Below are 26685 nucleotides of genomic sequence, written 5' to 3'. Positions count from 1 at the left end.
ATTTACAGATTAGTAGGCTCTGACTCTGACATATGACTAACCGGGAAGCTCCTCCCTGTAACAGTTGTATGTCGTCTGCTTCAGAGAACTAATTGCTTGGCAATTCCCCTTTGGTAATTCCCTCTTTATTTTCTGATGAGTTACTTAACAGCGATGGGCTTGTTGAGCAGAGCGTGGAGTTTAATGTGTGCTCCAGAAACTCCACTGTAGGCCTGGGGGATATGTTTTTCGAGTTCTGTTTAGCTTTACTGAAGGAACAGTGAAACCATTATATGGCCTGTTAATATTTCACTCAATACCAGATTAAACACCGAGCAGCGTGCAGTTTTCCAAAAGAAATCAAAACCAGGCTTCTTTTTAAAATGTGCCCCTGTGCATTAGAAAATTATTAAAAAGGAATTTAATATGTATAGAATGTTTAATGATCTTTTGAAAATATGGTTTCAAATGGAGTAGTCTTCCAGGACCCTACAGAGTGAGTATGGTGTGCTGTTGGACTGGTAGTTTGGAGGCTCAGTTTCTGTTGCCTGCCCTGCAACAGGATGACTTGTGCTACTCACTGTACCTTGCTGGGTCTCAGTTTTCCTGTCTCCAAAACACAAGGAGGTTGAAAGAAATGATCTCTCGGGACTCTTCTATCTCTGACATTGTACAGTTCCATGAATAGATTTTATTGTAATTCTTGCTCCCGGCTCCCCCAAGACCTTTGCTTCTGTCAAACATCATTTGCTGTTGTTTGACTTTGTTAGATTTTGTATTTAATTAGAATTTATATTTTAGCTATTATTATGTCATTATTTATAGAGTAAGTCATAAGCGGTGCCTAAATTCATTTATCACCCCATCTATATTAGTTTCATACCTGAATACTTCCTCCGCTCCTTTTTACTGTTCTTGCTACCATGTCCCAAACAACATCCATTTCTGGAGGTGGAATGCAGTATAACTGGAAAGAATCTTTCAGCTGATTGTGGGATTATTTTTTGCAAGAGGAGTGCAGAAGCTCTGCTTTTCTAAGCAGTAATATCAAGGGCCATATTCTGCTTTTAATTTGCAAGTAGAAATCGTTTTGATGTCATTTGGTTTTACCTGCAGGTGCAGGTTTTAGTCTCTAGGTAATTCCTTTTCTCTTCTGCGTCAACTTTCCCAATTAGTGTGTGCAGCATTGCCTTGTCTTTTTGGTTAATTCATAAGCAGTTCATACAGATGCCTCTTGATTCATTGCAATTATTAATAGTTTCTTTAGGCAGCTAGTGCAAATAGAAAAGGTGACATTTGAGAGGGTTTGTTGTTTTAATTTATTTGTTTCATAGACAGAGAGGGAGGGTGAAAATGAAGGCTTTAAAGTCAGGGAGATTGAGGCTTGAATCCTTCTGGCTCTGGCTCCTGGCTTTGTGGTCCAGGTCACATTCCTTAAATCTGTGATCCTCAATTTCCTCATCTGTTGAATGGGGATGATAATATCACCTAACTCACAGAATCACTGGAAAGATTAAATGTGCACTCACTCTCTAGATGTTGCTTATGGTAGTATCTCAATAACTAATAAAAACAGACACACACACACACACACACACACACACACACACACACACGGAAGGCATAGCATTTAAGAGCTGAATAAAAAAAGCAAGAACAAAGGAAAGTGCTGCATTTGAGGTATAGTCAGGGTAGGAGGAGCTTCTCAGAGCAGCCAGTTTTAGTAGGCAGAGTTTGAATCTCAAAAGGACCTTTGAAATTTGGGAAGGACTAAGCACCCTCCACTAACCTGTCAGTGACGTTTTCTGCAGGTAGCTCTTGGGAAGGACTAAGCACCCTCCACTAACCTGGCAGTGACGTTTTCCGCAGGTAGCTCTGCTCTACAGAAAAGAGTGTTTACTACACATGACTGATAAAAATACCATGTTTTTAAACATGTATTGCCCAAACCTTACAATAATAAAGGAAAGCCAATAAAAGCAAAAGTTCCCTTTGATTCCACCATTCCAGTCCATAAATCAAGTTCATTTTTATGTGTTGTTTTTTAGTTCTTGATGATGTAACTTATATCTTTTTTTCAGTTTTGTGTTTCCCATTTAGCATAAACATTCTTAGTAACTTCAGCTATACAGTTCTCATTTGCAAGGATCACATAACATTCTATCAGGTTGTTTTATCTTAATTTTTAAGTTTCCTATCATTTTTGGACATTCGAGTTGTTTCTAATTGTTTACTGTTGTAAAGCCGCAGCGAATGTCTTTGCACACAAGTATTTACCGAGGACACACTCACATCAGAAGGCTCAATACTAAGTTAGAGGGAGCTTGCTCTGAATTGCTTTCTAAAAGGCTGTACCAATTTACATTGTTACTAATGATATAAGAATGTCTCTAGCTTCAATCTTAATAATTGTGGGACTTACTATTTTTTGGCTAATTTAATAGGCTCTTTGGTTTTAAAGTTTTCATTCCTTTGATCCCTCTCAGAGATGGAACATTTCCATCTGTGTTTATTTACTAATTGTTCTTTTTACAATTAGCAAATGGAAGTCTTGATGTTTTCTAATCTATGTATATGAGCTCTTTATATGTTCTAGATATTAATCCATTTAAAAAGTCCTATTTGCTACAGCTACTTCCCTAGTCCAGTGTCCTTTCATTTCAGTGATGATGCTTTTTGTTGTACAACGGTTCAAGTTTTTATATGATCAGCCTCTCTTTTCTTCTACTTGTACCCAGGGCCAACCTGGCAGGAATAAATGAGATTACCGCAGCTCAAATTCTGCACCAGGCTGGCGAGTGGTCCACTGGATGGCTTTGCTGGGAATAGCTCTTTCTTTCTTCTGCTCACTTTTCCCCTTGGGAACTGTTTCCTGTTGAAGTCCCAGTCTTTCTATTTCCAAGGGCCCCTTTCCCCTTCTCCCACCTGCCCCTCACTCCTTGATTCTCACCCACCCTGTGCCGGTTTCCTGGCTGTGGCATCCTCTCTGCCCAGTTCTCAACCCTCCGTTGCTGACCTGTGTGTTTCTCAGGGAGCCCTGTCCTGGGAGCAGTGGGTAGAAACATGTCTGGCAGCCTCCCTGACTAGGGCCTAGAGAGATCAGTCAGGAATCTCAGGCCTGGCCAAAGTCTAACCATTATCCAAGTCTCTGGGGTCGGGGTCTTTACAACTTCTGTCTTACATTTCTGCTACGTAGCAGGCTGCCCTGCTAAGGAATGGGCTCCTTGGCGCTGGTTTTCATCCATGTAGGAACCAGAGAGGCACGATGCTACCCTGATTCCTTTCCTGTTGTAGCTCTTCTCCGGGGATAGCTCTTCCAGTGGAAGGTTGGGAACAACTTCCTAGGGATTGAATTTTTTGAGGAAGGCTGGTCTCAAAGTGTGAGTTTTAGCTGAGTGGCTCTGCTGAGCTGGGGTGGTTTGGCATATGATATACCTCCTAAATGGCCTGTCTAGATGTATTGTTGTTCTGGTCCAACATGTTTTTCCTCTTTGAAGCCAAAATGAACATTTGTTAGTATTTGAAATCTGCTGACATCTCTGTTTTTCTTAACTCCCTCCCTGGGTTCTCATGGTCCTCAGGATAAAGTCTAGAATCCTTAGCCTGGCTCCATAGGTTTTGAGGACCTTCCTTATCTCTCCAGCCTCATCACTCACATGTTGCCCTGTATTCGTCCCACGTCGGTCCCATCGCACTTCCTCCTTCAAGTGCCATACTCTGTTTTTTGCTCCAGCCTTTAGACATGTTGTTCTTCCTCCTTAGAACCCAGCTCCTCTCTCTGCACTGTCTGGCTACCTTTCCCTCATTCTTGAAATCTCAGCTTAGAGTCTCTTCCTCACGAAGCCCTTGGACTAGGGACTATGTTATTTGCTACCTTTTCTGGGTTCCCATAGCACCCCATTCTTCCCCTTGTATAATACTTCACAACCCCTTTCCTGGCCCAGCGATAGGAGGGACTGCCCTCTTTCCAGTATGTGGCATCTAGTGAATGGGCAATACATACGGGCATTCCCCCTGTGATGCTTATGTTACAAATTGGATGTGATTCCATCTATTAATATGGACTGTGATGTATATAATTGTGGTGTGTATAATTGTGGTCAGGAACCAGCATGGGGTCCTGTGAACCACAGTGGTGGAAAAAGCTATGGCACCTGTTTGTTCCACTGGCTTTGTGCTTTGTCCATCACACAGTGAGTGAAAAGGTGACAAAAATGTGTAAGAAGCCTGTGCTAAGGAGAAAGAAAGGTCCAATGATGAATTTTCTGGAAAGAAAGCTGTACGTAATAGAGTGCTGAATTCGCTCAATCATATTTAAGTTTTATAGTACTGCACTTATAACCACACAAAACACTATTATTATTGAAATTCAATACAGGAAAAATGCTTTTGTTTTTGAACGTCTAAGACTGTCTTCCTCCTCATTGAAAAAATTCCTACTGAATTTCGATTATATGAAGATTTTTAGAAATGCAGCTATTGCATCGAATGAATAAATGAATTTGAGGTTCACGTTCTTAACATCTGTTTTCTGACTTTGATCAGTCTCCTTTAAGTGCTCTCGTGGTCATACTCTGCAACTCAGGTGAAAGTTTCTAGTGAGATAGTTATCCCAAGGAGATACTTTTATCTGGAAGAGAGTAGTTCTGAAGTTCTAAGTGAGGTTGGTTGGTTAGATTTAGGTTAAGGTACCACATGGAAAGGAGAACTGCTTAAAGGGGTAGGGTGACCATGAAACCTTCTTCTGCAAACCCTGCTCGTCAAGTATGAAACCGGTGGGGTAGGAGGTCCATCTAATCTTATCTGTGCCCTTTTGAGTTGGCCGGCCGGGTGACCATCCATCTCCTCTGGGTTGTAAATGACTTCATCTCGAAGTTGCACTGTTGGTGGTAGGTGAGGACGCCTTCTCCAGGTGGAGGGAGTGCATTTGTGGTTGATGGTGTGAGCGACCATATGTTGGACCATATGTCAGAACCTGTTAAGAGATTCTGACAGGTATGGAAATGCCTCCCATTGGAAACTGAAGCCCTGGGTCCTTTGACCGCTGCAGCACCCCCAGAGGAGAGTACCCTAAGGCCCTTTTAACCTTGCCCTGCCCTGGCAGGTTCCAAGGGGAGGCAGAAATGACTCTGGATGAATTTTGTTTTGATTATTCTTCCCCTTTTCCAGGCTCTGTGTCCAGTTCACCTCTGGAGCTGCCTGGGTCACTGCAACCCAGACTAGAGAGAAGTATGACCCCAAGTTGTGGCTTTTATTGGGAGACAGCCTTCATCTAAGGAAGTGGGAAAGAATGTGTTCCCCAGCTGCTGCCTTTCTGGTGTCTGATCTGATACTTTTCAAAAGATAGCAGTTTTGTTTGGTTTGATTTGGATTTTTTTTTTCTTTTGTAAGTGGTCATAGACCCATAAGACAAGTTTATTATTGTATTGACAGAAGAAAAAAATGCCATGGTTATTTATTTAAAAATCTCTTTCCATACAACTTTGCTTTCTATTGAGTTTGAAGGAAATATGGTGATGGCATCTAAGCCCAAATTTCGGTGTTTTATTTTGGCTTTCCTGTTCTGTTTAAGCCTCTGTAACCCCTTGAACCTTTCTCTACTCTTCAGAAGGAACAAGTTATATTTTTTTTCCATCTCAACATCGTCCAAATGAACCGTACTATTTTAACAATCTGTGTAAACAGATATAAAAGGAGGAAGACTACTTTCTTTAATTTTCCTCCCAGCGAGCTGCAAAGCTGTTTCAGTCATCCTAGTGATTAGCAGAATGTGAGTAATAAACAACATTAAAATGAAGAAACGTCTTTCTGAGTAGGACCTTGAAATGTGGGTCTCACCAGTAGTATATGAGCCTTCCTCAGACTAAACTCCATGACACAGTTCATATCATCTTTAAGTCCTGGAGGGAGGGTTTTTTAATATGTGTAAATGACCAAACACAGCTGTTGGCTGTCCTGCTGTACAGAGAACATTCGGTGACCTGAAATCGCAAAGTTTCTGTCTCTGAAGGGTGCACTTAATTTAACTTTTTGCCCTGAAGTCTCAAGAAATGAGACTTCCTTTAAAAAAAGTGTTCTTAAAACTTTCTCATTTTAAATGTCCAGGGTCTTCAAAGAGTATACTGGGAGGAAAGTCCTGTGTTTCCTGTTTCTCTTGTAGGACTAGTCAAAAGTACCCTTTCTCTTGATGGTATTCTGCAGTCTGAGCCTCTGATTTAGTAACTACAGCCTTTAAAACCACAGTTATCCAGACCATGTGCAGTGGTTAATGTGTCATGAGTCTGCCTCAGCTGATAATAGCACATCACAGAATTCAGAGTGCCTTAGATAAATTGTTTCAGTGGATAGTCATAATGACTGCTTGAGTAGAAAAGTACCCTCATTTTCTAGGGGAGAAAACAGAACCTACGAGGTTGACTGATTTACTAGATTCCAGTGGTTAGAAATACATGTAGCCTGTGCTGTAAACCTGATTTTCTGACTTGTAGTTCAGCTCTCTTCTCCATCTCCTTGTACAGCCAAGATACCCCAGAAATTATTTGCGTTTCCGAAGTTGTAGGATGAAAAGACATGTCTTTGCTTAACTGAGTTAGCCCCCTAGAACAATATTGAGATGGAGCTGGAATGGTGAAGAAATGCAAGAGTCCAATCCCTTGGGTATGTGCAATTCCCAGTTACCCCTTGAAACAGTGCTTCATTATAAATTTAGATGTTAGAGGCTGGGCATGGTGGCTCATGCCTCGAATCCCAGTGCTTTGGGAGGCCAAGGCGGTGGGATCGCCTGAGGCTAGGAGTTCAAGACCAGCCTGGGCCACAGAGTGAGACCCTGTCTCTAAAAAAAATAAATAAATAAATAAAAAATTATATGTTAGATGTTTTTATAGTGCCGGAGCCTAAACTTGATGGATAAACAGAGAATGATTTTCATTTTGCAGCCACTGCACCTTTAAAGTTGAGCTTTTTGAGGTGTATTTCCTTTAATGCACCCATGACAGCAAGGTTGAAAACATCAGGAAATCAAATTGATCTCATATATGGAATCTTGAAATTTAATGTCATCTGCTCTGAGAAGTCCTTGTGGATGGGAAGATTGTACAATCAGATCATTTCTCTGTGTAGGTATCTGCTGTCTTTCTACTAGATGTTACAGAAGAGATTAGAAGAAGCTCTTCCAGCCACCTGTGAATCAGCTTTATTCTGCTAGGCAAGAAGGAGCTGGTGCTGGACATTTGTATCTGCAAAAACCATGAGTTACTTCCCCAATAATTAAGTATCTACTGTTACAACATCTAGTGGCTAATCTTTTAGTAAAATACACTGTCCATCTCTTGGTGCCAGAAGCAATAACTATTATGAAGCCTTTTCTTTCTTTGCAGAAGTAGTTTGCTGGTGACCATATTGTTAGTTGCAGAAATACTCAGAATCTGATTCACATTTAGACTTGACAGAAGCCAGATTTTATATCTGGAAACCTCATTAGTGAAACTGCAAACAAGACAAAGGCCATCTATCTCTCTCTTAGGTGCCCTCCTCAATCTCTTTACAGCTTTTCCCCCAGGAGTCAAGGAGATACAGCCTGGCAGGGACTTTTGCTTGGTGATGGAGTAGCTAAGAATGTTTCTCTCTAACAGGTCACAGAACAGAAAGTGCTGGTGGACATCTCTTCTTGCCCCAAGATCTTCGTTGGAAGTCCCCGGGACTTGGTGTCTTTGCCGTTCAAAGTGTTTATGAACTCGCCAGGAGGCATAATGTGTCACCATTTTATTCTGGGCCACCCTAAAGGATGACACCCAGCTTCAGAGACCTCCTCTTGGACGACATCCCTGAGAATCAATGTTTTAGCTGTCCCATAGTCTGACGTCTGTTTCCGACCGCTTTTGAGCTGGCGCAGGCTTAGTCATTAATGGCCAGGACGATGTTAAATGTTCTGCCTGATTGGCTTGCAGCTACACACCTTTTGTCATTTGCAGAGCAGCAACTCCCTCTTGAGCTCTTGGGGAGTCTTTACACAAATACACTAGAAAAAAGGCACCCATCCATTTTTTTTCCATCTTGGCATTAGCTCACAGGCATAGTCCTGGGATGACCTGGAGTAGAGGCAGTGGAGGATAAATTCATCTTGCACAGACTTGTTTGTGCTAGTTCTAGCCTGTCTCTCGCCACAGATCTAGCTTTTAAATACTCAAGTGATTGGTTTTGTGTAGGAATGTGTGGATTGTTGGATTGGAAGAATTTTCTCCCTGGATTTCTAGTGTTTACATAAGCAGATACAAAAAAAATTTGATCACTGATTTAAATAGCAGGGCTTATTTTAAAAAGTTATGGGTGCTTCAAGGTGGTACAGAATAAAAATGTCAGGGTTTTTTTTTTTTTTTTTTTTAACAAGTCGTAACACAACCAAAATGTATATATTAATGTTTTGTCAGGAAAGGGTCAAAATGGAAAATTTGCAACAAAGACAAACTACAATAGAACAAGTGCAAACAGAAGCTGACAAATATATGCCCCTCGTTGGGAGTTCAGCCCATGGAATGTTATGTAGGACAAAAGGAATGGAAGAGATATTTCAGTAACATTTTGTTCTCTGTCAAAAACCTTCTGAAATATAAATCTGCTGTGTATTGGAGAATGGATACAGCAATTGATTCAAGTTGAATAGCTTTCATTTAACTAGAATATCCCACAGAAAGCAGTTCTTGTTCTGACAACCATATTTTTGCTTTCTTTCACTTAAAGAAAATTGAATTCATGTTTACATATCTTATAGGGTTGTTTTATGGACAAAGACACGGGTCAAACCCCATCACAGTGGCTAGTGTTACAACAAATAGAAACATTTCTAAATGAAATAACATTTCTAAGCCAGGGCCAGTGCCTGCAGTAATAATACTAGGTTGGTATTATGAAGCCATTTGCAACTATAAATAATTCAGTCATAGATGTGCTTTTTTTAAAATCCTGGTTTTTTAAAATTCTAGTCTTTTGCCAATACACACACCCATACACATACTTCACCTATTTGCATAATAGAGGAGGAATATGAATATGTATATAATAAAGTCACTTTATTTTGGACTTTCTGAAACAGATTACCTTTTTTCTTCTCCTCATGATGGCTCCCTGAGTTGCTTCCAATTGTTGAAATTCCATAATTACCCACAAATATGGATGTGCCCTTCTAAGGGTCTTGCCATGTCAACCAGCCCAGCTGAAAGCTAATAGCCAGTGTTAGCGGTTTAAGGAACTGAGCTTCAGAATTGAGAGCCCCCAGCAAAGGAAGTTCTGTTTTTATTCTCCATTTCTACTCTCCTCAAGGAGAAATTAGGTGTTTATTGTTTTGTTTTGTTTTTTAAATTCCCAGATCATTCTGGCATTGGTCCTGGATTCGCTGCAAATGTAATTTTTAGCAACATCTATTACTCCTGAAATATTTTGGCTCTTCGTGGCCTGTATGATTCAGTAGACTCTGAGGTTTTCCAAGTACATTAAGGACTTAAATACAGAATGTCTTAAAATTTTAGGGCTATTGATCAAGAGAAAGCTTCTCGAGGAATAAAGTTCTGTTAGGTTTTAGCCCTATTCTGCTTTCAAAATTCTTAACTGGATGCCGTCTATTTTGTTTTCTTTCTGTGTTTATAACTAATTTGCTACTTGGGTTTATTGTTTTCTTACTTAGAAACTACTTTTTTTTTTGTTTTGTAAATGCACAGCACTTAAAAATATAAAACAGTTCCAAACAGTTCCAACCTGTTCATTGTTTATACCTTGACCATCTTTTCTGTCTTATTGCTGAACCATCGCTTCTCTTTCTACTTCTCTTCTGGGATTTCATCTTGCTCAGCTAAAATTCTAGTGTGTTATTCTGAATATTATGGCTGGAGTTTCCTGACCAACTTCTTGCATCTGAGTCCATTTCCTGTGCTTAAGGCTGCTGGCATTCCATTCACTGCTCCTAGTCAAAACTGAAACTTCTCCTGCTAATGAGATTAGGCCTTACAACACTATTAATTTCTTCCTCTCTATTTCTTGCTCCATTGTTATTTCTCAGAGATGAAAATCTATTTGTCATTATGAGATTCATTTTGGCATCACTTACTAAAGTTCCCTTGGATTTTTCTGTTCTTCATACACCCTACAGCTTCAAACTGCAACAGTCATCAACTGGTCTTTGACAAATTAGTTGTCTCTACACATGGTTTACAATATTACACTAGCTGTTTAAAAATAATTAAGCTTCTTTCTGTGTTCTTTGCTGTGGGTCAGGAACTTTACTTCCTTTGCCATGCAACACAGAAGTTAATCACAAATGGGTCCTCTGAACCAAATAATTAAAAATAGAGCAAAGTTTCTGAACCAGGCGGTTGGCAGAAACGTCTGTACTTCCATCTGTGCATGGTTAGGAAAATATTTCACGATATTTAAATAGCATCAGCTTTGCTCTCTTTTGTGTGAGAGTGTGTCTGTGTGTCTATGCGTAATTCATTGCTTTGAAGGTTTGTTTGACTGTTAGATAATCATATAAAAAAAGTTACTGGCAAGGAAACAGGAAAGCAAATCCAGGTGTTTTGTGCATACATTCTTTATTTACCAGTCTCTGTGAAGGAGCAATGATCTTGCTTTTGCTTTTCTCTCTGACTGAAAGTTTTTGCCTTGTTATGTGCTGCAGAAAACTAAATAACATTGCATTTTGACTTTGAAATCTTTATGTCTCTTGATTTTCCACTTACAAATAACCTTTGCTAATGGCTTTGGGGAGCTGTTCGTATGTACCCGAAATGCTGATGAATCTATTTCAGTTTGAAGTGTGGCAGATTAGGAATTTCTGCTCTCTGGAAAGGGGATTTATACCTGGAATATGCATCAAATTCACAAACACTTTGCGATATACGTGCAGACACATGAGTGACTGGTTTTGACAGGAATTTAATCCTTCAATTGGATTTCCCTTTGTTCTTGTGAGTAATCAGTATCTCATAAAATATATTCAGTTTTGGCTAATTGTACAGCTATGATACAACTTTAAGTTTCTAAGATGTAAATTACTATGTGATATAAAGATAATTCCCCTCTAGCATTTTTCTTTTGTAACAGCCTCTTTTTACTCCTGAAAAGCTCTTTATTTTAAGGTTGATTTCATTCTACTAGGAGAACTGTTGTGTTAGATAACAACTAATGCCCAATAAATACACTGAAGGGAGATTAGGAACTGTTAAAGAAAGAACACAAAGCAAATGCCTTAATTTCGTTCTTTCAGAACGTATATATTTCCCAAAGTTGTCAGTTCCTTTATGTTTCTAAAAACTTACCAGGTAGGCATATTCTTAATACTTTGATAATAAAATTAAACACTGAAATCAAAGCTGTAGATTGAACATGCTCACATTAAGTGAAATTAAGGAGAGAGGAATACATTTCATTATTAATGTATCAGTGAATTCTGGAGTTTAGCCATGAATATCAGCTATAATCAATAACAGTTTGAGTATTTAGGCAGTTTGTAATTCATGAAATTTAAATCAGAAGGGTCTTTAAACATCTTTTTGTCTAATCTCATTTTGCATTCAATTTAATTCTATTTTTTCTCAGCCTACTATATGCAGAGTACTATGCTAGCAGGGAAAAATAATGCGGAATAAGTTGTGGCCCATGGTTTCAAACAGATTAATCTTTGATTACTCTTTGATGCTTTTTTTGTATTATTTGAGGGACAGTTTTTTTTTCTTTTTTGAGATGGAGTCTCGCACTGTTGCCTGGGCTGGAGTGCAATGGCACGATCTCAGCTCACTGCAACCTTTTAAAAAGAGTTAAGTGGATCTTCCTAATGATTATTCTTTGTCAATGTAAGATATTAGGACTTAATGTATTTTGTGAACTCTGAGTACACCTACAGGTGAGTGGTAGATATCTTCATACTTTAAATTACTGCTGGATTTTGTCTGTACCCCGAGACAGAATTTTGGTCTTCTCTTATATATAGCAGTTAATATTAATGAGGCTTCCCTGAAAGGGTTCCTGGATATTCAGATTCTTCACACTTTTCTTATAAACCATTAGATTTGTTTCCTCCATTCATTTGGGCATCTTCTAGTGACACACGGAGTGGCTCTTAAAAAAGTGGAACTTGATTGCTGATAGTTTTATTCAATAAATCATTGTTAATAAATATTTATTTGCGATCAGAAACACAAGGAGGGAGTGTACACACTCAGAAAAGCCCACAATGCAGGGAGCCTGTTCTTCTAACAATAATAATGGCTGGCTGGCATATTGAGGATTTAGGATGTGTCAGTCACTGTACTAATCACTTAATCCTCACAGTAAACCTACATAGGTCATTATTATCTCCACCTTACAGATGAGGTAACCGGGTTAGTAGCTTGCCCAAGGTCACAGAGCTAGTAAGTGGTGGGACTGGGCTTCATGCATGCCATTTTAACCTTAGACCCTGTGCTTTTAACTAATTATACTCTATTGCCTACCACCTGTGTCATTGTAGAACTTGCAAAATTATGTTCAAAAATTGTTTTTACTAAATATAAAATAAAATACAGTAAAATAGAAATACAAAAGTATATTCACAAAATAAATGTAAATTATAAAAAATAAGGGTTCAGTGAACACTCCTTTAACTCTACACCCATATTTTAAAATTACCATCAACTGGATGTCCTCTATGTGGACCTCCCCAATCTTGTCACATTCTTCCCACCTCAGAAGGAACCACTATAGAAACATGACGTTTTAAAATATTTTTAAGACTAGGCACGGTGGCTCACGTCTGTAATCCCAGCACTTTGAGAGGCCAAGGCAGGTGGATTATTTGAGGTCCATAGTTCGAGACCAGCCTGACCAACATGGTAAAATCCTGTCTTTACTAAAATACAAAAATTAGCACACGCCTGTGGTCCCCGCTACTCAGGAGGCTGAGGCAGGAGAATTGCTTGAACCTGGGAGGTCGAGGCTGCAGTGAGCTGAGATTGCACCACTACACTCCAGCCTGAGCGACAGAGTGAGACTCCATCTCAAAAAAGTATACATATATTTTTCACGAAAGTACACAAAAATGCACACCAGCCAGATCACTGTTTGTTTTCTCTCCTTTTTCTCTTCTTTTTTCCCTACTTTTTCATCTCTCATCCTTCTTCCTTCTTTTCTCGCACCATCATGGAGAACAAAGAAGAACTGGGTCAGAACAAACCTTTAAAAAGTGAAGGCGAGCGTTCCTTGCGGGGATGCCCAGTGTCATGACTAGTGTTGGGAATTCTTGGTGAGATGACAATATTTTTGCCTCACTCAAATGAGGCATGCCCTTCCAAGTAAAGCATGCTATGTTTTGTAGCAAACAGAACACCTGAGAAGGATGATTTCATATGACTGTGCCAACAGATCTCTCACAAGCTTGTCAGGTTATAATTCACAAATCTTAACTCTATAGTCTATAGACATTTTTTTTTTATATGGGGTCTCACTCTGTCGGTTGCCTAGGCTGGAGTGCAGTGGTGAGATCTTGGCTCACTGCAATCTCCGCCTCTTGGGTTCAAGCGATTCTCCTGCGTCAGCCTCCGGAGTGGCTGGGGTTTCACCATGTTGGCCAGGCTGGTTTTGAACTCCTGACCACAAGAAATCCACCTACCTTGGCCTCCCAAAGTGCTGAGATTACAGGCATGAGCCACTCCACCCAGCCAGTGGTTCTTTTTCATTTGAGATGGAGTTTTGCTCTTGTTGCCCAGGCTGGAGTGCAATGGCACGATCTTGGCTCACTGTAACCTCTCCCTCCCGGATTCAAGTGATTCTCCTGCCTCAGCCTCCCAAGTAGCTGGGATTACAGGCATATGCCACCACACCCAGCTAATTTTGTATTTTTAGTCAAGATGGGGTTTCTCCATGTTGGTCAAGCTGGTCTTGAACTCCCGACCTCGGCCTCCCAAAGTACCGGGATTATAGGTGTGAACCACCATGCCTGGCCTGTTTCTTTTTTTTTTCCAAGAGGTCAGTTCTCAGTCTGTTGTCCGAACTGGAGTGCAGTGGCATGATCACAGCTTTACTGCAGCCTTGAACCCTTGGGCTCAAGTGATCCTCCTACCTCAGCCTCCCGATTAGCTGGGACTGCCGCTGTGCACCACCACACCCAACTAATTTTTAAAATTTTTTTGTAGAGACAGGGTCTTGCTATGTTGCCAAAGCTTGTCTCGAACTCTTGGCCTCAAGCCATCCTCCCGCCTCGGCCTCCCAAAGTGTTGGGATTACAGACATGAGCTGCCGTGCCTGGCTGACTTGTGGTTCTTAATAGTGTGGCTCTTAAAATAGCAAACATTTTTGGGAACCAATGTGAGGGCACTTCATAACACAATCAAAAACCATTAAGTGGAATATGTTAAGATAATGTAACCTTGTTGTTGTCCCTTAATGCTTTAATGCAGGCTTTCAGCAAGTAGTAATACCTGGTATGGTGGGTGTAAAACTCAGAATGGGTCCCGGCATGGCAGGAATAAGAGAATTCTTTCATCGGTTGGAAAATATGTTTGAATAATTCACTACATTTAAAAAATAGGTAAAGAGGCTTTTGGTTTTGGTTGCAAATTGCACTCATCCATGGAAGTTTTTCAAGGGCCATACAATTCTGTAGATGGAGGTGGCAATTTAATGCAGTCTTAGCTGTTTAGGATTTAGAACTATGTTACTTTTAATTTACTTCCATGAAATTACAAAAACATGTAATGAAGCTAAAAAGATTTCAAAAGAAGCACATCTAGTCAAACATAAAAGTACTTAATAAGGGCATACATGTAGAAGTATATTAGTCTTTGCACATATTTACATATGTATGTTTTGGTTGCTTAATATTTTTCAAGTGCTGCATGCATTTGTATGTGTAAATACAGTGTGCACCCTTTATAGAACTAGTGTTGGGGGACTCTTTTATCAGCTATTATGATTTGGAGCTTTATCAAATGGAGTGATTTTTTTTTGTGTGTGTGTGAGATGGAGTCTCACTCTGTTACCCAGACTTGAGTGGAGTGGTGCCATCTCGGCTTATTGCAACCTCTGCCTCCTGAGTTCAAGCAATTCTCCTGCCTCAGCCTCCAAAGTAGCTGGAATTACAGGCACCCATTAGCACGCCTGGTTAATTTTTGTATTTTCAGTAGAGACGGGGTTTCACCATGTTGGCCAGGCTGGTCTCAAACTCCTGACCTCAAGTGATCCACCTGCCTCGGCCTCCTAAAGTGCTGGGATTACAGGCGTGAGCCACCACACCCGGCCGGAGTGATATTTTCCAATGGTCATGATTCTGGCCTGTAACACCAAGCAGTATAACGATGAGATTGAAGTGTGACCATGTGCGTCTGCCTATTTTTATGTTCTATCTCATCTTTTTGCTTGGAGAAAAATTATGTTGAAAGACTACAGTGTGCCTATAAAGCTTCAAATATGAAAAAAGAGCTACATATGACACTTTGTTGCAGTTAGTCCATTGTCTCAAAAACATGCTATAAAAATATGACAACTAGAAAAGTCTTGGCAAATGTAGCATGAGTGTTGCCGGTTTAAAAGCCGTGTTTGAGTACTCTAAAGTACTTTTCTGTGACAGCTATTACTATAGGAATTGGCACCAGCTAAGAAAATTTACAGTTTAATACTTTAGAGCAAATAATTGCTTAGGGTGCTTTAAATAGCACAGGAAATGTGTAGAGTGTTTACTTGACATTTGCTATATTGAACACTAATACTGAAACAGATTCTTTGACCACAGAGAATGCCAGTGTAGGAGGGGTGGGGGTAGGTGGGAGAAAGAGGCGGAGAAGGAAACGGCAATACAATTAGATAAAAATTAAATGACAAATGTACTTTTTCATGATACAGAGATATCATGGGGAAAAATGCCCATTTGTTTGATCAAGTAATCTTCTAGTGTGGTAGCAGAAAGCAAAGTACAGACAACTTCCTGGGATTAGGTTCCTCCTGCTAAAGGCTGTCTTCACCAGAAGGTCAAAGCCTTGCAGCCCTTGGTCGCTCTGGTTTATTTTTCAAGCTCCTGAAAGCAAGAGGAATGACCTCCGTTTTTATTAAAAAAAAAAAAAAAAAAAAAAAAAAAAAGAAAAGAAAAAAAAAGCCTCTCTCGTTATCTGTCTAATCTGCACATGCTTGTGATTTTTTTTTATGACGACTCTGATGCCCTCATTTCTCATTGCAGCTCAGTGCTTGTGATGTTTTTTTCCCCTGAATGCATCTTGCACTCCCAGAATCTTCTTTTCATTCTTCCCTGGCTCTGTTAATACGGGTCTTATCTTAGAACGGGGTCTAGTGCAGTTTAGTGTAGCTCTTACATGCAGAGCATTTTTTTTTTGCACAAACTGCTTCTCGTGGATTGTGATTCAGTTGCACTTAAAGGGAAAAATAGAGTATATTTTAGGCTACTAAACCTCCTTCCATTTGTAGGCATTTGAGCCAGTTATACAGTGTCTTTCAGGGAGTTTTACATGCATATGTTAATAACCAGTGGCACCTGTGATAGGTCCAGGAATGTGAAATTGTGCAACGTTAATGACATTTGTCCAAGCTTCTTCCTTCTATCTTGTCAATATGAGCTACTTTTAAATACACAAAGGAATTTTGAAAACACCAATCAAAAGTCAAAATTTCACCCTGCAGCATGGCCCGGCACCCAGAACACTCAGCAAGAGGAAGGTCTGTATTTATGGCTTTTCCACTGACTTGAAATTTGACCTGGAATAAATCATGTTTAACTTCTTTATGCTTCAATTAGCTTTTGAAAGATATGTGTGGTTGTGTTTAGCCAGTGGAAAGGCAATAACTGAAGTTCACAACGAAAGGAGAACTTGAAGGGAAATTTTGTTAGGAAAGAACAGTGGGCAAGAATACAATCTTCAGGCAGGGTGCTATTCCTAAAAAGTCTTGGTACACATGGTTCCTAAGGAAGGTGGGACATTTTCTTATAATATTCTTTCTGTATTTTGTAGAATTAAGAAATATATTATTGTACATAAATATTTTATATTACATTATATATGTATAAATACATTTATATATATATATATATATACATACTGTTTTACCCTTTAACTCCAGAAAGCTTTGCGTTCACACATCTTTTTCCCTAACTTCTACCTATAAAGGGATTTTTAGTGATAATCTTGAATTTAAATTGTAATCAAGCAGTAACAAACTTCATTTAATATGCAGACATCTAATTTTATAAAGGAAATTCCAAGTTATTGTTCATTTCCATTTATTAATTTATTTATTTTGGGACGGAGCCTCACTCACTCTGTTGCCCAGGCTGGGGTGCAATGGCACAATCTCACGTCACTGTAATGTCCATCTCCCGGGTTCAGGTGATTCTCCTGCCCCAGCCTCCTGAGTAGCTGTACAGGCGTGCACCACCATGCCCGACTAATTTTTGTATTTTTAGTAGAGATTGGGTTTCACCGTGTTGGTCAGGCTGGTCTTGAACTCCTGACCTCAAGTGATCTGCCTGCCTCAGCCTCCCAAATTGCTGGGATTACAGGCGTGCGCCATCGCGCTTGGCCAATTTTTGAAGTTTCTTTTTTTAATCTGTTGCCATCTCTGAGATGAGAGGTTTTTCATTCATTTGGGGAAAAAGGAAGAAAGGTAATCAACATTTATTGAGCACCTACTGTGTGCCAAACAGACTGCTAAGCACTTAGTCCTTAAGTACCCTACGTGACTGATGTTCAGAGGGCCATTTTCTCTGTGTCAGGAATCAGGTGGGAGGGCCAGAATCCATAGAACAAAAATATAACCGTTGCAATAGATAATTAAAAAGAGGGACCTTTTAGTTAGTGGCACCCAAAGCATCATAGTGTGGGCTGTGAGATCTCAGTAAACCAGTTGTTGGTAGGTTCCCCCAACTCAGAGACCTCCATGAGGGTTGGATGGCTGGATTGCAACATGGTGCTAAACCACATCTCCCTGGTTAAGCCATTTCAGTTATTGCCTCATTTAAGTTGCATTGCTGTAAAAGACATAGGTATGACAAGTTGCAATGCCTAAAATTCGAACGAAAGAATACAGGCTTTGAATGTTATTCAGAGCTTGACTCCGGAGTCCCAGATGCAGTTTCAGGGTGAGTAAATACAAAGCCAGCAGCTCCCAAGTTTAGATGAGAAAACATTTCAAAGAAAGCCAGCGAACGCTTATATATTTAACACAATATCCATGACTCATTTTCTCTTTGCTCTCTCAGTCCAGCCGTTATTCATTTACCGCTCACCCCACAGGAAAGCTCCTTTTGAAGTCTGCCTTTGGCTACTTTGCAAAACATATAAATATACACCTTGGGAGAATAAGGGTGAGAGAGAAAAAAGGCAGAGGTCATAATTTTTAATCCTGGTTCTGCCAATAACAAACTTTGTGACCAGATACTTTGTACAGTAAAGGAGGATGTTTTTAAAACCCATTCTCAGTTGCCAGAGAGGCAGGCAGTCATCATTCTGTAGGAAGACTTGTTTCAGGATTTCTCAGATGTCTGCTGTGTTTGGATTGCTGAGGTCCCTAAAGAACCTTCCCTTTGAGTCAGCTCGACTAGGCTTTTGGAAGTAGCCCTGGAGGTGTGATAGCACCTTAAAAATTCTTAGTAACTAGGAATAAATAGAAGGAGAATGGGAAGGAATAGAAGCTGGGTGACGGGGAAGGGAATGCCAAGCTGTCCTGCAGCTGGGATCCACACTTGGTGAAGGTTGTGCCTGCGTCCCTCATCTGTGGTTGGGTATACCAGAATTTTGATATCTCTCTAGTTCGAATACCAGCCTTGACATTTACCACCTTGGCCAAGTCCCTGAACCTATCTGTGCCTCAGTTTCTTCATCTGAAGAGTGGGGATTATAGTCAATGTAAGGACTAAGAAAATCAATATACGTAATACCCCTAGTATTCACACTTCACCTGCTATGATGATATTACCATTCTCCTTTGGAGTTTTCTAACTTATTTGTGTAGCATTTAGGGCAAAATACCAGGCATATGGGTGATGGCGTGTAGTGGAGTTGGTGAGAGGGAGACCTTGAGTTGTAGAAAGGGTGGGCAGAACCTGGTTTCTGTCCTACATCCCAGATGTTGCCCATACATATCCTGTTTGTTTCTGACCACCCTGCTTTGCTGTGAGGGTTCCCAGCCCCTCTGCCTTTACCTGTCCTCATTCTGCCCCACTGTCCATGCCCAGCATGAATCTCCACTTCTCCGGGACGGAAAGTTTTCCCCAGCTGCTTCAGCCCAAACCAACTTCCCTCCCCACTGCCCTGTGCGCACAGCTTATTTGATCATGTCATTTATTGCTTCATTTTGTGGCTTAGATGTCTTGCGTCCCAGTCAGACTCCATGTGACTGGAGGCCTTTGCCTCCTTTCAGCTCCAGGGTAGTGTGGCAGAAAGAGCAAGGAGCAGGGAGGGAAGGGACCTGCTCTCTTCTCCAGCCCTTTCTCTGTGATAAACTCAGCATGCTCCAGGCGTTTAATCTCTGTAATCCTCACAGCCTCCTCATGCAAAATGAGGGTCTAGACCAAGTGACCTCTACAGCTGCCCTTGCAGCTTCCCCATTTTAGAGTAGTAGATGGTGAATAAGTATGGCCCGAATGAATGAACAAATGTGCAGTCTCAAGTTGGTCAGTTGTGGCTTAAATTATTTTTGTGCCCACTGGCATCTCGGCTTGGTAAATGGAGGAAACGGTCTCTGACGAATTTTCACTTTCAGTAGACAGAAATTTTGTTAATTTTGATCATTTTATAGTCCGAATTTGTGGACACATTGAATTAATATTTATATTAGTAATATGTCTAAGAAGAAAAGATTTTTTATGCTAACAAATAATATAAATAATGTCACAGACTAATAACAGCTAAGAGTCAGTAATAAAGGAAATTTGTTTTTAAGCACTTTGGAAGTTCCTGTTTGCATGCATTATATGATTATATATACATAATTTGTATTACATTATTATATAAGCTCTCTTAGTCTATTCATTAAGTAATTTGATGATCATTTTGAAATTTTTTTATAAGTACTTAAGAGAGTTAAAACTATATTTCTTCTTGAAACATTGTAATTTGGACTTGTTTTCTTATTCATATTAGATGTCTTCTCTGAGCCCAGTTACTGAGTATGTAGTAACTTTTTTGTGTGTTACAATAATTGACAGAGACGGTGGTTCAAATTTTCAGCATCAAACCTCACTTTGGAATTATTTATTTCCATTTTTTCTCTTACCTACTAGTATATATGGATCCAAAATTAATTGCTTTTTTATTATATTTAATACATCTATTTGCTTTGTGGTTTTACTGATACTTGAAAATTGTAAACAATTATGAAAGATTTTGAACTTTAATCATCTTAATTTGCTTAATTAACATAATTTACTAGAGGAGAGAAAGAGAAAACAGACTTGGTTACTTATTTATGTTTGTAACCACCTTTGTATATGTAGTAACACCAGAGCAGGCACTTCATAATTGAAAAGGCTTTAGGGTAATAAGTCACTGTCTGTTTCAAACTGTGATGACTTTCTGGAAAAAATAGCTTTTGTAATATTTGTCATACTGGCCCAGATCCAGAAAGTAGTATGTTCAGTGTCTAATTGTACTCCATATGGCCTGAACTCTTGAGCAATCCATCTGAAGTAGGACCCTGTTAAGAAATTATTCTTTGTTTTTTTTTGAGATGAAGTTTCGCTCTTGTCGCCCAGGCTGGAGTGCAATGGCATGATCTTGGCTCACTGCAACCTCCACCTCCCGGCTTCAAGCGATTCTTCTGCCTCAGCCTCCTGAGTAGAGTAGCTGGGATTACAGGCACCCAGCTGTTTTTTGTCTTTTTAGTAGAGATGGAGTTTCACCGTGTTGGCCAGGCTAGTCTTGAACTCCTGACCTCAAGTGATCCACCCGCCTCGGCCTCCCAAAGTGCTGGGACTATAGGTGTGAGCTACCGGGCCCGGCCAAGAAATTATTCTATGTCATACATAATTGGGTGCAAGAGGTCTTAGTAATTTGCATTTTAAAATGATAATTGGTATCATCTACGAAGAGAAGTTCTACCTTAGTGTTTTAGTTTAGCAGTGACACTAAGATATTATACATATGAAAATCTCTTAATGTTAGTGGGCAGAACTGGGAACCCTTCCCTTTTTTTTTTTTTTTTTGAGACAGAGTCTTGCTCTGCCACCCAGACTGGAGTGCAGTGATGCAATCTTGACTCACTGCAGCCTCTGCTCCCCCGGGTTCCAGCGATTCTCTTGCCTCAGCCACCTGTGTAGCTGGGATTACAGGCACACGCCACCACGCCCAGCTAATTTTTGTATTTTAGTAGAGATGGGGTTTTGCCATGTTGGCCAGGCTGGTCTTGAACTCCTGACCTCAGGTGATCCGCCTGCCTTGGCCTCCCAAAGTGCTGGGATTACAGGCATGAGCCACTGTGCCCGGCTGGAACCCCTCCCTCTTACAGTTCACAGGGTATAAGAAGCTACTTTCTAGGGCTTCATCTTAATATGGTGATTGAGTTCTATATTATGGCCAAAAGGAAAATTATGTGGGTATTGTGGGGAGGAGGAGTCAGAGGGCTAGGGGCAAAGCGGGCAGAGAAATATCAGCTGCCTTTATTTAGCAAATATTTACCAGTCGTTCCTGCCCATATGCACTTGTTCCTTGTGTACTTGGATCTGAATTGATTAAAAAGGTCTGTATGTATTGAGTCTTTTCCCTTAGGAGCGCTTAAGCTTTCTTTTGATGCTTTTTTTCTCTTCCTTTAAAATGGTGCAGGAAAATGTTGGAATAAACATAGTCAGCTTGTGAAAGGATGATTCTCTCCCTTATCTGGGCATAAATATTGTTGAATGTGAGAATGTGGGAGTAGCTACTGGGCCAAATATGCACAATGAGTGCAAGTGATTATTGACCTTACTGATGAGAGGAAGGAAGAGAAATACTTTAAAACTATTTTCACAGGGCATTTCAACCAAGATGTTTTTCTAAATTCGGTTTCTGATTCAAAAACTGGATTTAGCTCTTTTTCTTGTTTGTTTCATCTGAACAAATTTACCCTGAATTGAATGGGAGAGTGTTTCTTAATCCCCCATGTCTTTAGCAGTGAGTCATTTCCATGTTGTTGAGACATTTTCTAGCCTTTATTGCTGTGTGTAGTTCATGCTTTTCTCTGGATGTTTTGACTCCTTAAGGAACTCGCAATAACAAATTAACAATCACACTCCTCTGGAATGAAAACACGCAGTATCGGAGTAATAAATAGCAGTTCTCGAAACCTAAATAAACACAGAAAACTCAGCTCTCGTACTTAAGAAGGCTCTAGAGGAGTCCAGTGTCCAACATTACAAGCAAGACACACCATTTAAAGCCATAGGAAGTTAACATACTTTCATTTTAATTTTCCAAGGGATCATGTTATAAAACCATATAGCCACTTCCATTCTTCAAAACTTAATAAACGGTTAGTTTTAGTCATCTGACCTGCCTTCTCTCAAATGGATCATAATTTAGTTTAACAGGTTTGACATTAAAATAAGTTGTGTTTCTCTGGGAAACTCATGTTAGCCTGGACTTCTCCACTTCCTGTCTTTCTCTGGTGAAGCTGGTAATAGTGACTGAGCTCAGGCCATGGCGGGATCCTCACAGCCCTAAGACTAGGTGCCACCTGTGTGCTGCAACCCAGTACCAAAATAACAGGAAAAATCTAAAGTTATCCAGATAAAATATGTCAAATTATAAAGCCTCTGAGTCATGACAGTAATCAAACCTGATTCTATATCAGCAATCAAACCTGACTCTATATCAGCTTTACCAAACACTATTAATATATCCTATAATAAAAATTAAGGCGTCATTCCTCAGGTTCTTTAGCAAGTAAGTCAGTGCATCTATCTAATTTGCTAAGGCTGAAACCTATTGTACATAGAACTCGGGTCTGAATGGTTGTCCCGTAGAAAGTTTTAGAGCAGAGCAAGGTTGTAAATAGCCAGCTCCAGTGGCTGTTTTTCACCCTGTTCATGGGTTGCTTGCCCTGGTTGTATATTTAGTTGCCTGTGATGGATGGAGTGAAGTGCACAGGTCGTCTCTCAGGGGTGAACACTGGGTTTGATTAGAGGCCATTGTCATGAAAGATACTCCAGCTCTTCCATGACCATACATGCTTAGAAGAAAACTTTGATGCACAAAGAACTGAAAGCCCTAGGCACTGGAATTCCTGCTCATCAAAAAGACACCTAAAAAATTCTTTTGGAGACTTCATGAATTTTCTCTCGATTCATACTGAAGGACTGGTGCCAGTAATATTTTTCCTCTTTGCCTGTTTCAGTTTCTCATGAAGTTTTTCCATATTTAGACACACTGCCCAGTTAAAGGGAATGCCAGTCACTCGGGGTTTAAGACAATGAAGTATGTACTTCCCTCACCAATCAGTTGGGAGAGCTGATTGGGCTGAACTTCCAGTCTGAGGCATGTGAGTCACACACAGGCAGAGATTTAAATGTTATTAACATGAGAAAGATCTTTTGAACGTGAAGTCATCATGCTTGAGGTTACTTTGAACTTTCCTCATAGTCTCTTTTATGATTTGTGTAAGAATCAACATGCTTTAGTCTTATGTTAAAAAAACACAGTCGAGTGAAAATGGACATGAATTTAAAATTGCATGATAGCCAGAAACTTTTCATACTGTGGAAATGTTACACTGTGATAAACATTTAGTGAAGCTGCTTGGCTCATGGGCTATTTTTTTAATGGCTTTTGGGTTCAGAAATTTCAAAATGTCAGATTCTTTGTAATTTAAATTTCCTTCTAAGTAAGGAAGTGCACTATGTTATTAATTTTAAAAATATATATACTTAGAAGTTGAAATTGTGTAATTATCTTAATGCTCCAGAGTCTCTTTTCTGACTAAACATTGGAACTTATTCTGTTGAATGCAGGGAATTTGTCCAGAAAAGCTTAAGGAAATTTAGCCTACGAGGGGAAATGCGCTAGATTCATAAATAAAAGGTTTATCCAAAGGGGTGATATAGAACATGATTTTATCTATAAAAGATTGTACTTGAGTTTTGTCTCTTCCTCCTCCTTTTAGGATTAAGTAATGATTGTAGCTTAGTTTTTATAGTTGATTTATAGTAATAAGTTATGTGTAAGCTGACTGTGGGTAGTTGAACTCATTTCAACTGCAGAAGGATAGATTGTTGTTTAAAGGATCATACAAAAATTATTATTTTTTAATAAAATGAAAATGTCCCCAGAGATGTTACACCTGGAAACTTAAAAGTAGGAAAAATGATAATATAGTATGTTACTCTATCTCTGGAAGGAATGATCTCTCCCACTGAAAAGTAAATAGTCCAAAGTTTACAATGTTTAGTTGAAATAGCTTATAAATCACGGCAGTGACTTTTAATCCTTAGTAGAATTCTCCTTTATTTCTGAGAAGTCTGTATAAATGTTTATGGAAACACAGTCTGAAATATTTTAAATGTAGCATACCAATAGTACTTAAAGAGAACTTTACGCATGATCACACACATTCAGAGTTGTTGGGTAAAAACACCTTGTACCTTCTTTGGTAGAAAATACTTCTGTATTTGCGTGTGTGTGAGAGAGAGTGTGTGTGTGTTTTAAATTCTTAAACATAACAGATCTTTTGAAGCAGAGCAGAAAACTCGCATGTTACTGACACTGCATTCTCAGCCATGGGGAAAGCAACAGTGTGTTTCAGCTTTAGCAAATTACATGTGTTGACTCACTAAAGAACCTGAGTAACTACACCTCAGTTTTTATTACAGGAAATATTAATAGTGTTTTGTAAAGCCAATAGAGACTCAGGTTTGATTACTATCATGACTCAGAGACTTTATAATTTGACATATTTTCTCTGGATAATTGTAGATGTTTCCTGTTATTTTGGATTTTTTATTATCGTTATTTACTGTGAGTTTTGCGCTCATATACATGTAGCCCAGAAAAGCGATAGTGAGATGGTTCAGTGTATGGAATCAGTTTTATTGAACAAACAGTGGGGCAGGTGGGGGGAGATACTTTTTTGTAATTAGACTATTATTAGTGAGCACTTCCTTTGGCTTTTGTTCATTTAAATGTATCTTTTCTTTATAACTTCACAGGACGTGGAACATGTAAATGCATTTTGAGTTGAAAGCAGAAAATCACATTTCAGTAAAATTAAAAGCTCAAGATTTCATTTTCTTGTAAAATTTCTAATCATCCCCATTTGCTGAACTTTGGGCCCTTTCTTGGCATTGGGAGGTCATGGCTAATGAATGCATCTCCTGTTGCCTGGCTTACAGCCGCCCCCTGCTGCAGTGCCATTTGGGAGAAGTGTGTAATGTGCGTGCTTGGACTCGTTATCTCCTTTCATTTCCTCAACATCAGTTAATGCTGCATAGTTTGCAACATGATATTGCTTTGAGTTGGTGCCTAATTGTGTAGGCTGGCTAGAAGAACGAATCTTTGCAGTGGTCAGGTGAGGCCACTGAGTGTGCCCCTTTGCGGCCACTGCAATAAGGTGGTTGGGAATTCTTCATTTCTGATCACTGAACTTTTCCAGAACGTCCCAAGGCTCCCCCAGGAACTGTATTACAGCATGACATTCTGTGTATGTGGGTTTTTCTGGGAGAGGATTGTAGCTTTCAATCAGATCCTCCAAGAATTCTGTTTCTCAAAAGGTTCATAGGAACCATTTATTTAGAATTGAAAGATAGGCACATCTTCTGAGGAAAACAAATGAAAGGCTTAACAAAATGTTAAGGCTGAGTTACAGAAAACAAGCCATAAGCTACCTATTTTATTCAATTAAAAATAACCATGACATGGCCATTTTGTAAATTATTACATTAAATCTGCATTGCAGACATACCTGGTACGTATTTATTTATTTATTTTTTAAGAGGCAGGGTCTCCCTCTATCACCCTGGCTGGAGTGCAGTGGCATGATCATAGCTCACTGCAGCCTCAAATACCCGGGCTCAAGCAGTCCTCTTGTTCCAGCCTCCCGAATATCTAGAACTACAAGGACGTGCCACCATAGCTGGCTCATTTTCAAATTTTTTGTAGAGACGAGGTCTCACTATGTTGCCCAGGCTGGTCTCGAACTCCCTGGCCTCAAGCAGTCCTCCCACCTCAGCCTCCCAAAGTGCTGGGATTATAGGCATGAACAACCACCCCCAGCCACTTGGTACATATTTCAAATGTGGTTTGTTTCTTTTGAAATAATGAAAAGGAATAATGTTTCAGGGTTTGTGGCATCCACATTTTGGGATGGCTACATGCCGTAACCTTGTTCGTAGTAGCTCCTGATTTTTATCTGTATTAGAAATTGCTCGGCATGAGACAAATGAGGAACATTTGGGGAAATGTGTGAGTAATTGAGTAAAAACTAATAGCTGTCTTAAGGGAACCATCTTCTGGTTTGCATTTGTATTAATAGGTATGCAGAGCAGGAATAATTTGGAACGGGGGAGCTGGTTATCCTCTGGGTGTGTCAAGCACAAATCTCAGATTCCATTACATCTGCACAAGTCTTGACAGTTTGCAAAATGTGCCTAGAGGTATGCTTGATAAGGACAGACATTTCTTGCCTGGGTTCTAACTGTGTCACTGCTAGCACAGTATCTGGCCTGAACAGCATCTAAAGAAATATTTTGCTGGATGGGTTACCTCAATGGGTTCT

At 39.7% G+C, this 26685-nt stretch overlaps 1 protein-coding gene across 7 annotated transcripts in view, besides 3 other annotated features; it reads left to right on the top strand.

The window, feature by feature from the left end:
- ATXN1 (ataxin 1) overlaps positions 1 to 26685 on the top strand; it is a 462349-nt gene that overhangs the window by 13932 nt on the left and 421732 nt on the right. For 4 of the 7 annotated variants that reach the window (NR_152112.3, NR_152111.3, NR_152113.3 and 1 more), the window contains one exon: positions 7611 to 12582. The exons of the other annotated variants lie outside the window; for them this stretch is intronic. The gene's annotated coding sequence lies outside the window, so the exon portion shown is untranslated. Of the gene's footprint in view, positions 1 to 7610; positions 12583 to 26685 lie in introns of those variants that run through there. 7 annotated transcript variants of the gene reach the window in all.
- Positions 214 to 358: an enhancer, noted in NCBI's record as "145 bp enhancer 207 fragment used in the MPRA reporter construct; PK_construct_125". NCBI's record gives its function as "activates an SV40 promoter by MPRA in HepG2 cells {active_cell/tissue: HepG2}" and the evidence as "EXISTENCE:reporter gene assay evidence [ECO:0000049][PMID:23512712]".
- Positions 279 to 292: a transcriptional cis regulatory region, noted in NCBI's record as "HNF1 motif; enhancer activity is reduced when this motif is scrambled". NCBI's record gives its function as "necessary for full MPRA enhancer 207 activity {active_cell/tissue: HepG2}" and the evidence as "EXISTENCE:site-directed mutagenesis evidence [ECO:0005528][PMID:23512712]".
- Positions 23174 to 23786: an enhancer, noted in NCBI's record as "OCT4-NANOG-H3K27ac hESC enhancer chr6:16723974-16724586 (GRCh37/hg19 assembly coordinates)". NCBI's record gives its function as "activates a minimal SCP1, AML or CMV promoter by ChIP-STARR-seq in naive H9 embryonic stem cells {active_cell/tissue: H9 hESC(naive)}" and the evidence as "EXISTENCE:reporter gene assay evidence [ECO:0000049][PMID:30033119]".

Source organism: Homo sapiens, chromosome 6 (assembly GCF_000001405.40).
Source record: "Homo sapiens chromosome 6, GRCh38.p14 Primary Assembly".
Taxonomy (NCBI): Eukaryota; Metazoa; Chordata; class Mammalia; order Primates; family Hominidae; genus Homo; species Homo sapiens.
This window is presented reverse-complemented; position numbering and strand designations above follow the sequence as displayed.